General features: G+C 36.6%; 1 protein-coding gene across 27 annotated transcripts in view; it reads left to right on the top strand.

The window, feature by feature from the left end:
• WDFY3 (WD repeat and FYVE domain containing 3) overlaps window positions 1–13,808 on the top strand; it is a 297,094-nt gene that overhangs the window by 237,346 nt on the left and 45,940 nt on the right. For 22 of the 27 annotated variants that reach the window (XM_011531759.3, XM_047449858.1, XM_011531763.4 and 19 more), the window contains 5 exons: window positions 2,434–2,484; window positions 4,751–4,919; window positions 7,773–7,936; window positions 10,775–10,923; window positions 12,329–12,449. In XM_011531759.3, coding sequence (XP_011530061.1) covers window positions 2,434–2,484; window positions 4,751–4,919; window positions 7,773–7,936; window positions 10,775–10,923; window positions 12,329–12,449 — 654 coding nt within the window. The remainder of the gene's footprint in view (window positions 1–2,433; window positions 2,485–4,750; window positions 4,920–7,772; window positions 7,937–10,774; window positions 10,924–12,328; window positions 12,450–13,808) is intronic. The other 5 variants (XM_047449859.1, XM_047449854.1, XM_047449856.1 and 2 more) reach the window with 1 other exon arrangement.

Raw genomic sequence — 13,808 nt, 5'->3', positions numbered from 1 at the left:
ATATTATAGATAGTGTAAGATGTAAGCCTGGGATATGCTGAAAATTCAAAATCTGGTTGTTCCTCTGAATCCTAAGGGAGGAAAATAATGTATATTTTGCCATTTAAAAAAAAATTATATTTAAATATTAACTAGGCTTTAATTCTATAATTCCCTTATTTTTAAAGAATAATAATCTCAAACACATTTACTATTATTTGCAAAGTTCATTACAGTGAAGAGTTTGTCTGCCTATTAATTTGGGGTTACTTGGGCAGGAAGCTAGTCAACTTTTAGGTTCCTTTTCTAACTAGGAGAGTTTCTTGTGGCTGCCTCAGTATATATTTTTATATAATGTATAAATGTCACAAGACTCACAGAAACTAAGCAGCTCATTTAGGAAATTTCATTGCCAGCATTATAGAAAAATTTGAAGTAAAAGGACTATAACATTATTTGCTAGAAATTCTGACTTTGAAAAATGCAGGTTTCTAGGTAAAGAATTATAGTAATAATTTAATGCTTTTTTAAATAAAAGGAAGCCAAAATAATGCTAAAATTATTGGTATAACATATTTACTATTGAGTGCTGGGCCTTTTAGTAAAATAAGAACCGGTTAATCAATCAGTGAGCAAATATGTATTAAATCAACACTGTATCATATGGTACCAGGAAAAATATAAGGGTATACTTAGTAGACCCTGCCTACATCCTGGCTGGGAGTATATATAGTGAATGTCACAGTTAGGTGTGACATTAGTAATTGGTCTGTTTTGTTGTACTTATTTGTTGCATATCTATCCAACAGTCTATCTTATTTTTTTATTCATTTGTTTTAAGACAAGTTATCGCTCTGTTGCCCAGGCTGGAGTGCAGTGGTGATCTTGGCTCACTGCAGCCTGGACCTCCTGGGCTCAAGTAATCCTCTCGCTTCAGCCTTCCAAGCAGCTGGAATTACAGTCATGCACCACTATGCCAGGCTGTTTTTGGATTTTTTGGTAGAGATGGGGGGTTTGCTATGTTGCCCAGGCTGGTCTTGAACTCCTGAGCTCAAGCAATCCACCCACCTCGGCCTCCCAAAGTGCTGGGATTATAGGTGTGAGCCACCGCTCCTGGTCCTATCTTGTTTTTGTTTGTTTGTTTTGTTTTGTTTTGTTTTATGAATTTCAGAGCAGGTTGAAGAATCCGTTTTCTTCACTTTCATATGCATATTATGAGTTCAGTATTTGTTTACAATTCTTTTTTTCCTGAAGGAAATTTTATATACATTGAAATATACAAATCTTAAGTGTACTGTTCAGTGATTTTTTTTTCTTTCTTTTTTTAATGTTGGATTTCCTGATCTGTTTTTGCCATTAAAATACTTTTATTTTATTATGGTCTAGTCAGTGAGTTTTAACAAATATATACATTATACTTTTATCTTCTAAATCCCTACCAAGATAAAGAACATTGATTAGATGTTAAATATTATTTTTCAATATAAGATATACCTTTACAAGTTTGCTTTTAAAAAGAAAGAATCACTAAAACCATGTGAAGTATTTGTAAGTATGCCTAGTGGGCCATGGTTTTGCCTTGGTAAGCAAACATTTGTGAAAACATTTTGCCTGCTCATGTTTACTATAGGGAAAGGTACCAGAAGTCATCACCAGATATAAACCATGAACAGGAAGGAAATTCGGAAGTGGTTTTTGGTTGCATTATTGTCTGTAGCTACCTGTGTGCTTACATGAAGCCACATGCTACAGCTCAACAGAATTGCCTTCTTATTAACCAGGATTTTATTCTGAAAATAAAATATAAAGCCATTACCTAATTCTTTTAAAAGTACTCTAGAAAAGCTTCTGATCTGGGGGCTGATGATCCAGTCTACCCTCTGCTTTCACCCTTTCTGGGATGGTAAAGGTAGTGAAGGAAGTAGATCCTTATGCTTTTAAGGGAGGATTCTTAAAGAGAATGATGTCTGTGGTATGGAGTATTGTAAATGATAGCTTAAATCAGCCGTTTGCCCCTGTTACAACACAGATTTAGGGATAACCCCAGGGAAAGGAAGATGGAAGATACTAGCTAGCATTAGGTTCTATTATCCTGATTTCAGGTTTTTTGTTTTTTGTTTTTTTTTTTAAACAATGTAAAGAGTTGCCTGTAAATCATCCAAGTCAATGGCAGCCTGTGCTGAAGTTTTGCCTGTGTGATTTGTAAGAGTTTGTCCTGTTCAGTAGCACTGAGACGTTTGCCGTATTTAAGCTTTACTTAAAACTGCTTTTGATCTGTGAGACAGTAACCACAAGATGCTTAGTGATTATTTAAGCTGCTTAGGCTATCATGTTAATTTTGTTTGAGTAACTACATCTTTCATATTTCATACAATCCTCAAGAAAAATTTTATTTTTGTGTTCCTCTTTATGTTTTTTTTTCTGATATGTCTATACTTAATACCCTGTTTTCAGTCTGAGATCCCAAGTAAACAGCCTGAGACACCCGATGATATTCCTCAAAAGGTAAAACACAAATTACAGTAAAAGAATGTAAACTACTTGTAGTTTTGTTTTTTGTTTTCTGGTTTTTTTTTTAAGTGCATGGTAGACTAGACTAACTTAAAAGATTGGCTTTCAATTTGTTCTTCCTATAAGTTCCTTAGAGTTGAACCGTTGGTTTCATTCAGGCTGAGAGATGTTGTTCTACTGTTGCTCAGCTTTTTCTAATTATCTCTTTTTAGGATTTATATGCCACTCACTAACAGACTGAGTTTTCACTGCTCTCACTATAAAAACATCTTTTGCTTCACACATAAACTAACAAATTATGAGGCATGTTAGTAATGGGCAGCCTGGCATCTTCAACTTTTCAGTGACTCATTTAATTCTTCTAAATACTAAAGTGTATATTTTGAGAATGCAACAGTGTCTCCTCTTTTAAAATTATTTTTTTCAATCAGAACGAATGGAAACAAAGAGTGTGTGATCACTTTTTAAAATACAAATTTATTTTAATTAGTAGAAAAGTTAATTATCGTTTTTGTATTCCAGAAAGATGAAAGTACATAATTTAATAAAAAATGTAGTTTTTTAGAACACAGAAATGTACATCAAAATATTTAGAAAAAAATTCTTTTAGGTCAATTTTAAATCTGTACATGAAGTCAGTAATCAAGTAGATGCTGTCCCTCATCTATTAATTCATTGTCTTGCCCATCACTAACTATGCTTTTATCTTTTTAAATATTAGCAATTTTGAGTTGAAAATACCTCACATAAAAGAATTTTTATGGTACAAAATCTACGACCTTCCTTTCAGTTTCAAAAATAGTGCAGTGTTCTTGTTTGTTTACCCATCAGTTCCTCCAAATTGTAATATTGTACATCATTTTAATACTTTGCTATGTCAAGTAATATTTTCAGTCTCCATTTGCTGTATATCATTCCTCAGTTCACTGGCAACTCTCTTTATTTCCTTGCTCTGTACCTGAAGTTAAAGAAGGTTAATGTGGCTTGACTTAGTTATCTTTTTATCTAAAATTTGGTTCAGTATCTCATTCTACATGTCTCACCCAAAGGACACTTGTTTTCCACTTTAGTTGGAAATCACTTAAAAAAAATGTTGCTTGAAAAGGGCATTGTTGTAAATGATGCATATTGATTATTTGAGTTTGAAGAGTAGACGGGTAGTAAAATTTTTAAAATTATATATTCTTGTTTATAGGAAAGTAAAGTCATATTTAGAAGGGGAAGGTTTTAAAGCATGTTTCAGATTTCATCTTTTTAAAATTATTAATCCATAGTCTGGGTCTAATTCCGATCCGAGGAACCTATATACATACAAACTTTTCCCTCTGTCTGATATTTTATAGGATATTTTAGATCTTAGTTTCTCATCTTCCGTGATTTTAAGGGGAAAACAATTTAAGTCAGTTGGAGAACCTGTTTTGAGAATAAAGGCTAATCAGGAAAAGAAATGTTCATGTATCATGTTCTAAAACATCAAATCCTTATGTTTCTAGGTAATTAATTTCTTCTTCAGAATGGACTGCTGTATGTTCATTAAGAATGAGTATATCAAATACTCATTTAGTTGAGTTAGTTATGGATCATATTCCTTTACACAACAGACAATGAGAATGAGCAAATTGGAGATAGCAGCTTGCAGTGGCAAGCTAACCAGAGTGTCACCTGGCATAAAACTTCTTGATTCCTTTTTGGGTCAGGACTCTCAGAAGGATCTGAAGAAGATTTTGGCCATTCTCAGTGAAACCTGGGAATATAGGAAAGAATAGGCCAGTTGAGTCTCTACCTCCAAGTATTTGAACTACACACTCACACCGATTATTCTGAGTGTGTGGACCTTTAGGCCTGACCTAATTACTTCACTTGGGGTGGAAGTGAAGTTCCAGGCTCCTCACAGACTAGACAGGCTGTTTGCAGCTTGATGCTCTTCAACAGTGATCATTCTCTTTACCGGATGGGGAGGTTTTCTCATACACCAAAGAAGACACACTGCACTAACACAGAAACATTTTTTGGCTAGAGATTATTTCAGGAAGAACAAAGCTGCTAATATTGTTGTTTTATGTATGTCTTTTAAAAAATCAATAGAATTTTAAAATAGAGAAACTTAACCCAAAAGTGTGGATTTACTGTATATACATACAGTCTATGAAAAGCCCCTTTAAAAAGGTAACACACCTTGACACCATACCTTCCCTCAAGAATATTACGTTTTAATTCTTGGTGATAGTTATCGGAGTCATTTTCTTTTGTCATTTCTTAGAAACCTGCTCGATATAGAAGAGCCGTAAGTTATGACAGTAAAGAGTACTACATGCGACTGGCCTCTGGCAATCCCGCCATTGTCCAAGACGCCATTGTGGAGAGTTCAGAAGGTGAAGCTGCTCAGCAAGAACCAGAGCATGGGGAAGACACTATTGCTAAAGTCAAAGGTCAGCCTGCCTTTTTGATTTTGATTAAAAGTGATTTTGGAACATTCTTGTATTTGAATTCATACAAAAATTTGAGCAACTATAAATAGTAGGGCCAACTTTAAAAATATCCATACACATTTTACCATCTCACCCTTCTTAAAGATTGATTTCTTTGTCAGAACTAAAAAGACTTGCTCTTGTTTATTGCCTACAAATGAATATCACGTGCCCATTGGCTTAATGGTTTTTTAATTGTATTTCTCAGAATTCTCAGTGGCACTTGATATTTAGTTTTTTTAATACACATATGTATTTTTTCATGACACAGCATCAGGAGGTATTGAGAACATGTGCCTTGGCACTTGATATTTTAAGGGCTTAATAACTAAATAAATATTTATGAAATTAAAACTAAACCTGTCATTAGTGCATATTAGCCAATAGTAAGGAATAATGGTCTTTCTTCCTATGAGTTGAGAGAGATTATCCCAGATCTAAACTTTAGGAGCTGAGTAGATGATGAATTGGACTACAATGTCCATAGACTTTCGGATTCTGTACTTTTACATGTGGTGCCTTGAGCCTGAAATGGTTTCTTCTTTTCTACAGCTTCTCCATTATCCCTACCTTAACACATCCTACTCAGTCTTAAACTCACTGGTCATATATAAAATCATCCTTCTCTAAAGTCTTCTCCAACTCCTCTGTTCACTGATAATACTTCGCTCATGTCTGTTATAGCAGTTTCAGTGATTTTTTCACTGCTGTATGTTTCCACTTTCTAATTTATGAGTTTTTCTCAAAGACAGATTTTTTTTCTCACTTTATAAATTTTGACACATGACTAGCACAGAATGAGGATTCAATCAGTTCAACTGAGTAAGTAAATCAATCCATTGTTTTAATCTTTGTAAGCCTCTGATTCACCACAAATTCAAAAGTCTTTGCATAGTCTATAAAGCCCTAAAGTGTAAATTAAGATTTTAAGTAAAAGTTAGTTTTAAAATTAAAAACTAATAAATTAAAAATAAGTTTTAATGAGTTAATAAATTAAAAATGAGTTTCAGATTGTTTTAAAAACTGATAGTATATGACTGTGTCAACAAAAAACACTATTGAGATTGTGATCAGTTTCTCCTGTTGTTATGACATACCTGTTCTCTCATGTGATGACTATGACTTACTAAACATTTTATAATTGATCCAACATTTTCATGAAATCACTGAAACTGTTCGTAGTTGAACAGAGATTAAAGCCTTCTAATTTTGTTGACATTGCACCAGCATAGTTATTGAATTGGGTCCAAAGCTGTTGCTGGATACAAGCCAAGGTATAATTCACAGAGTTTGATAGATTATTTGTGTTTAGGTCATTGGCTTTTAACTTCTCTGGCCTGATTTTCCTAATCTCTAATTGAGCTAAAAGCGCAAATATACAGGGTATTATGCTAGACATAGAAATGGAGGTTTTGATTCATTAAGCTAAAAATAAAGCAGCTGTAAGCTTTCCACCCCTTGTGGATGTTCTCTGCAGGATTTGATCTCTCTTGCTTACTTATTACACTTGTTCAAATATGAAAACAAGGCTCTTCTCAAGGCAAAGCAGAACCTCTGATAAGTAATATTCAAAGGATAAGACTCAGGCTGACTTGTGCTTTTCCAAAGTGCTTAGAGCAACTGTAACAGGCAGGTATAGTGTTACTTTGGATGGCACAAAGAATATTAATTTAATCAAAATGTGTGATTTGGCATGCATTTTAAGGACTTCTCATACTTTGGGTCCTCACTGGTTACTGTCAACTGATTTTAAATTATCGTACTGTGATTATTAAAAAGTTGTCAAAATGTAGGTAGTAAAATGTTTCCTTAATCTGCAAATTACATTATATGTCCTTGTATTATAAAGAATTCTGTTCTTTCTGACCTGGTATTTTGATCAAATTAATTCATGTATGAAAAGCCATACTGCCACTTGTGAAATGAGGCATGAAATAGTCTTCAAGAGCCCTCCAAGTAGGTGGGATATCTTGTAATCATGTTTATTTTTTACTTTTTTTGAGACAGAGTCTTGCTGTGTCACCCAGGCTGGAGTGCAGTGGCGTGATCTCAGCTCACTGCAACCTGTGCCTCCCAGGTTCAAGCGATTCTCCACCTCAGCCTCCTGAGTAGCTGGGACTACAGGCATGCACCACCACACCCAGCTAATTTTTGTATTTTTAGTAGAGACGGGGTTTTGCCATGTTGCCCAGGCTAGTCTCAAACTCCTGACCTCAGGTGATCTGCTCCCCTTGGCCTCCCAAAGTGCTGGGATTATAGGTGTGAGCTACTGCACCCAGTCGTAATCATGTTTATAATTTGCTGTCTTTATTTTTGTGACAATCATTGATTATTTATTCATGGTGTCCCCTTAATGACACCTACCTAAGCTATACCATTCTTACTATTATAGCTTTCTGTTATCATCATTACCTGACACTATTGAGAATTTATTATGCATTAAGCATAATGCTAAGCACTTTACATGAGTTACCTAATTTAGTCCTCCAACAATCCTCTAAGATAGTGTACTTGTACCATGTTTTTTGTTGTTGTTGTTGTTGTTGTTGTTTTAAGACAGAATCTTGCTGTGTTGCCCACACCTGGCTCTTGTCCCAGTTTTATAGATAAGAAACTAAGGTTCAGAAAGTTGAATAATTTTCCAAGGTCATTAACTCCAGAGGACTATGTTCTTAACCACTGAATGTGCTACCTCCCTATACCTTCCAAAATTGTCTCAAATTGGAAATCTATAGAAGGAACTACATGAGACTAAACTGCTTCCCCACAAGGTCCTTACAATGCCACATGGCCCTCTTGGTTATTATACTGTAGGTTTGGTCAAGCCTCCTCTAAAACGCTCCCGATCTGCACCTGATGGAGGAGATGAGGAGAACCAGGAGCAGCTACAAGACCAGATTGCTGAGGGCAGCTCCATAGAAGAGGAGGAGAAAACAGATAATGCTACCTTACTGCGCCTGTTAGAGGAAGGAGAAAAGGTATTGTGCTTCTGAAAAGTAAGGATTGTAAATACTTCAGTAACATATTATTAAGACAAGATGAGTTGATAGGGTAGCTGTGGAAAGTAAATGCATTAGCCTCGGTAATAAAATACAGCTTAAGCAGCCTTTTGGGTTCAGTACTCTACTTTTCTCATCTGTAAGGGTTTTCTCATACCCTGAAACATTAAACAGCATAAGATTTTATCAGATACAGTGTTAACAACTGGCATCTAATTCTTTCTTCCTCTATACCACAGATCTTGCCATAATTCTCTATTTCAAATCCATGTAGACAGCCTATTCAGTAATCTGGCCTTGTATTTTTTTCTACATCTCCATAATTCCAGTAATAACCTACAAGCGGCTTCAGCCAATCTGGACTGTCACCTCCAGCCTTGGATTATTTAGCCCCTGCTCTCCTTCACTCACAGAAGACATCACCTTCCTATTTCTTGCTCAACCTCCAATACCCTGCTGACCTCTCTGGTCTCATTCCACTGACTCTGTCTTGTAGCCTGAGCCCCTGCAGCCTGGTACACCTTGGAGTTCATTACACCCACCATGTTGTGTTTTTTTTTCCACTCTGCACTTTACTCATTGTGGTTGTCCATGTTGCATTGCTATAAAGGAATACTTGAGGCTGGATAATTTATAAAGAAACAGGTTTGTTTGGCTCAACGCTTCTACAAGCTGTACAAGCATGGCACCAGCATCTGCTCGGCTTCTGATGAGGCCTTAGAAAGCTTTAACTCATGGCAAAAGATGAAGGGGGAATAGGCTTGTCACATAGTGAGAAAAGGAGCTCTTGTGTGAACTGATAGAGTAAGGACTCATTACCGCCAGGACAACACCAAGCCATTCATGAAGGGCCCACCCCCATGACCCAGACACCTCCCATAAGGCCGCACCTCCAACAATGGGGATCACATTTCAACATGAGATGTGGAGGGGACACATATGCAAACCGTGTCACTCATATTGTTTTTTTCTGCCAAAATGCCCCCTTCCTTTTACTTGCATAACCTTTATCCTAATAAATCCTGTGTGTTATAATCCCATTTATCTGGATGTTTGTAATATTCAAACATAGGAAGCTTTTTTTGACTCTTTTGCTACTCAGGCTTGGTTGCATACCCTTCCTCTATACTTTCATGATGCCTTATATATATCACTCTGTATTATCATGTCATAATTACTTGTTCCAGTATCTTTCTTTCTCGTCCTAGATGTCGAGCTCCTTATAGGCAAACTGTGTCTTATCTCTATCTCATTGCCTTACACAGGTCCAGTTGCATAATAGACAACCAGTAAACCTTTGAATGAAGGAATGATTGGTTTAATAAACAAGGGAATGAATGACTTGAATGTGTCATGAATATCACCTTTTTAAAGGATGTTCTTTTGCCTATTATATTAGATCTTGGTATAACCTTTGAGTTCTTACCCTCTAAGAAGTAGTCACTAGAAATTTGAGTATAATCAAAACAGTTCCGTTCAAATGTATGCCCTAATTAATATTGAATGACAATACATTAGAAAAGATCATGTAACTATAAAAGTACACCAGGTATGAAGGAAGCACAAGAGAGGCTTCTAGGAACTGGGGAGCATTCTGTTTCTTGGTCTGGATGCTGGTCACACAAAATTTTTAGCATTTGAAAATTCATCCAGCCATACACTTAGGAAATAAACATTTTGTGTGTGTGTGTATATGTATGTGTTTATATATAATATATGTATGTATGTATGTATATGCATAAAATATACTGCAATAGAGAAACTTTTAAAGTACATCAGGATTGATCAAATGTAGCAATGAAAATTGACTTATATTTAGATATTTTAGAAAACCTATTACAATGCTTTCATTTTTAAAACTTTTAATCTCATGAGTACAGTTTTTGCTCTGGTTGCTTTAATAGTGCAGGAAGTGTATTCAAACTGACATGTGTTTGACTCTGATTTAATTGCTGATTTTTGTCTTGACTCATGTTGAACTAAGTTTAAGCAAGAAAGAGTTTTTAGAAAGAATTAGATACTGCCCTTTGGGAGAAAACAATACTTACTTTGAGAGATTTAGCAATGCTCCTTCCTATGAGGAAAATACAACTTCTGCCAAGCTTGGCTTTTTGCAATAGTACAGTAGTCTCCAGGGAGCAGAATCCAGGTGGGGAATGAATAGAAACAAATTCTACAGTTCCATTTCCAGGGGGTATGATGGAAAAAGAAGGTAAACTGTGTGGAACAGAAAGCAACCAATAATTCCTAACCTGATTATGTACATTATCTCACTTATTTTTCACAACAAGCCAATTAGAAACTTACAAAAAAAGACATGGAGGCTCAGAGAAATTAAGAAACTTGACCCAGTCTACAAAGTGGCAGAACTGGAAATTTACCCTGAGTTAGCAGGCCCTGCAATTTTCACTCTGTATCATCTTGCCTCACATAGAACACAATCCTATTCTAATCTCCTTACATGTATGCCTCAATTCCCTTTCCTGCCAAGTTTGCTGTGTCTGTCTCCCTTCATGAGAGCAGGAGCCTTATCTAATGTTCTTGACTTTTAGAAGCTAGCGCATGTTTGCCTGGCCTACATAAAGTACACCCGGAATATTGAGAGAGATGGGATTGGCAGATGAGTGGATGGGTATGAGTGAATTGTTTAGTTTTACTCTAGTCAGATGTAAATCAGACTGTAATCTAAGCTTAATCTTCTCAATATGCTTAAACTCTGATTTAATATGCTTAGCTCTAGGGATGCCGTAGTAGTCTAACAAAAATTGATCTTTACAAAAAGCCTATATTAATGAATGTTTGTGGGCTTCTTTATAGATCCAACACATGTACCGCTGTGCTCGAGTCCAGGGCCTAGATACCAGTGAGGGGCTCCTTCTTTTTGGTAAAGAGCATTTTTATGTGATTGATGGATTTACCATGACAGCAACCAGGGAAATAAGAGATATTGAAACCTTACCTCCAAAGTAAGTAAATGAATGAAGAGACATAATGTATGGCTATCTTTAGAAGACAGAAAATGTATTTGCAGTTTTCTTTTTTAATCAAAAAATTGTGTTCTAGGTAATGTTATCTCTCGGTTTGTGTGCATTCATCATTACATATTCACAAAGATGATATTCAGTTATTTTAAGGTAATAATGAAAATGTTTGGCTTATTTATCAAGATGAAAGCTAAATAACATTTATTTCTGTGCATTCTGAGTTATTTATATTATAATGTATATATTTACAAATTTATTCTGAATTTATAAATGGTCCTTTTAAAAAATATAGCAGATATACAATTGTAGAGAAAATACTCTTTTTTTTTTTTTTTTTTTTTTTTTTGAGACAGTGTCTCACTCTGTCACCCCGGCTGGAGTGCAGTGAGTGGCAGTGGCGCAATCTCGGCTCACTGCAAGCTCCGCCTCCCGGGTTCATGCCATTCTCCTGCCTCAGCCTCCCGAGTAGCTGGGACTACAGGCGCCCGCCACCACGCCAGGCTAATTTTTTGTATTTTTAGTAGAGACAGAGTTTCACCATGTTAGCCAGGATGGTCTCAATCTCCTGACCTTGTGATCCGCCCGCCTCGGCCTCCCAAAGTGTTGGGATTACAGGCGTGAAGAATACTCTTAAAAATGAAAGAGCATCATCAGGTACTCGGAGCACCCTAGAAACAGCATGACTAAAGCATTAGCAGAGATTTACTGACTGAGTTGTAGGCATCTTCCTTTTCTTCTACCAGTCCTGTGATGAAAGTGGTAGTGAGTAGTGGAAAACTCAGGAGACAGACCAACCTAGAAGAAAGTTAAGAAGCTTAGGGCTTAGAAGATCAACAGGCTGCTTCTCTTCCTTTAACATTTTCCTAGCACCCTTGAACACAGACATTGTTTCTGTAGTTCATTCCTAGGAGATATTTCAAATAATTACTGTCAACAACAATCAGGGTCACATGAAGTCTTTCGTGGGTCCTTTTTCCATACAAAAATATTTAAAATTGTATGTTGTGGCTAATGGTATAAATATAATCTTATATTAAAATGTGTTTTTCTACCTAAAAGTTGATTTTTTTTCTGATTTTTAAAAGAAATTAAGACATTTTCTTGGGCCCCAAAATATGTGAGCTGAGGCACTGTGCTAACCATGTCTGGTAGATAACTTGGTCCTGACAGTAATAAGGGGATTTTTAAAATTATATTCATCAAAGGGGGTTCCTTGTATCTCAGGTAGCTAACAAATTCTTCTTGTAAATATATTTTTTAACTGAAAATTCTGATATATATTACTCCTCCATCCTGTTCATGTGTTTAAAATTAGCACGCCCTTTATGGAACAGTGAATTTATCCCTTGCTGTGTTTTTATTTGCTTTTTCTCTTGGCTGCCTGTAGTATGCATGAGCCTATTATTCCTAGAGGAGCCAGGCAAGGCCCTAGTCAACTCAAGAGAACATGCAGCATTTTTGCATATGAAGATATCAAGGAAGTTCATAAAAGGAGATATCTCCTGCAGGTGAGTCAATTTAGTAGTACTGTTTTATCATGTTTCTTTATTCTGAAAATGTATTGTTTTATTTTATTTTATTTTTTATTTTTTATTTTTATTTTTTGAGACAGAGTCTCACTCTGTCGCCCAGGCTGGAGTGCAGTGGCATGATCTCAGCTCACTGCAACCTCCGCCTCCCGGGTTCACACCATTCTCCTGCCTTAGCCTCCCAAGTAGCTGGGACTATAGGCGCCCGCCACCACGCCAGGCTAATTTTTTTGTATTTTTTTAGTAGAGACGGGGTTTCCTTGTGTCAGCCAGGATGGTCTCGATCTCCTGACCTCATGATCCGCCCGCCTTGGCCTCCCAAAGTGCTGGGATTACAGGCGTGAGCCACCGCGCCCGGCCGAAAATGTATTATTTTAAAATTGATACATGCCATGGAAACCCTCAATAGGATCTGCATTTTTTTTTTTTTTTTTTTGAGATGGAGTCTTGCTCTGTCACCCAGGCTAGAGTGCAGTGGCACGATCTAGGCTCACTGCATGCTCCACCTCCCTGGTTCACACCATTCTCCTGCCTCAGCCTCCTGCATAGCTGGGACTAGAGGCGCCTGCCACCACGCCCAGCTAATTTTTTTCTGTTTTTTAGTAGAGACGGGGTTTCACCATGTTAGCCAGGATGGTCTTGATCTCCTGACCTCGTGATCCGCCTGCCTCGGCCTCCCAAAGTGCTGGGATTACAGGCGTGAGCCACCGTGGCTGGCCAGGATCTGCATTTAGAATAATCCTTAGATATGGTTATAGACAGACTCAGGTCATGTGGATGCATAATTTTGTATAATGCATTTCTCTTGTTTAAACACAGCCTAAAATTTGGGTAATTATCTTTGTTATCCATCTTTCCCTGTAGCTATCCAAATCAACATTTTAGTTTTCTTCTAATATAAAAATTACATCCTTACTATAATTTTATAAAATTATAATTATAAAATTATAATTACTTTTTTTATTCTGTTACTAAAGACTTTAGAAATAAATTGAGCAGAATAAGAAATATCTATTTATTGTGTAGCTTAATCTGCAGGGAATTCATGACTCTAAAAGTGTTAGCAAATTAACTTCTTTTTTTTTTTTTTTTTTTTTTCTGAGACAGAGTCTCGCTCTGTTGCCCAGGCTGGAGTGCAGTGGCGCGATCTTGGCTCACTGCAAGCCCTGCCTCCTGGGATCATGCCATTCTCCTGCCTCAGCCTCCCGAGTAGCTGGGACTACAGGTACCCGCCACCAAGGCCGGCTAATTTTTTGTATTTTTTAGTAGAGACGGGGTTTCACTGTGTTAGCCAGGATGGTCTCGATCTCCTGACCTTGTGATCCACCCGCCTTGGCC

This window comes from Homo sapiens, chromosome 4 (genome assembly GCF_000001405.40).
Source record: "Homo sapiens chromosome 4, GRCh38.p14 Primary Assembly".
NCBI lineage: Eukaryota > Metazoa > Chordata > Mammalia > Primates > Hominidae > Homo > Homo sapiens.
The sequence above is the reverse complement of the archived record's forward strand: the minus strand, read 5'-3'. Positions and strand labels throughout refer to the sequence as shown.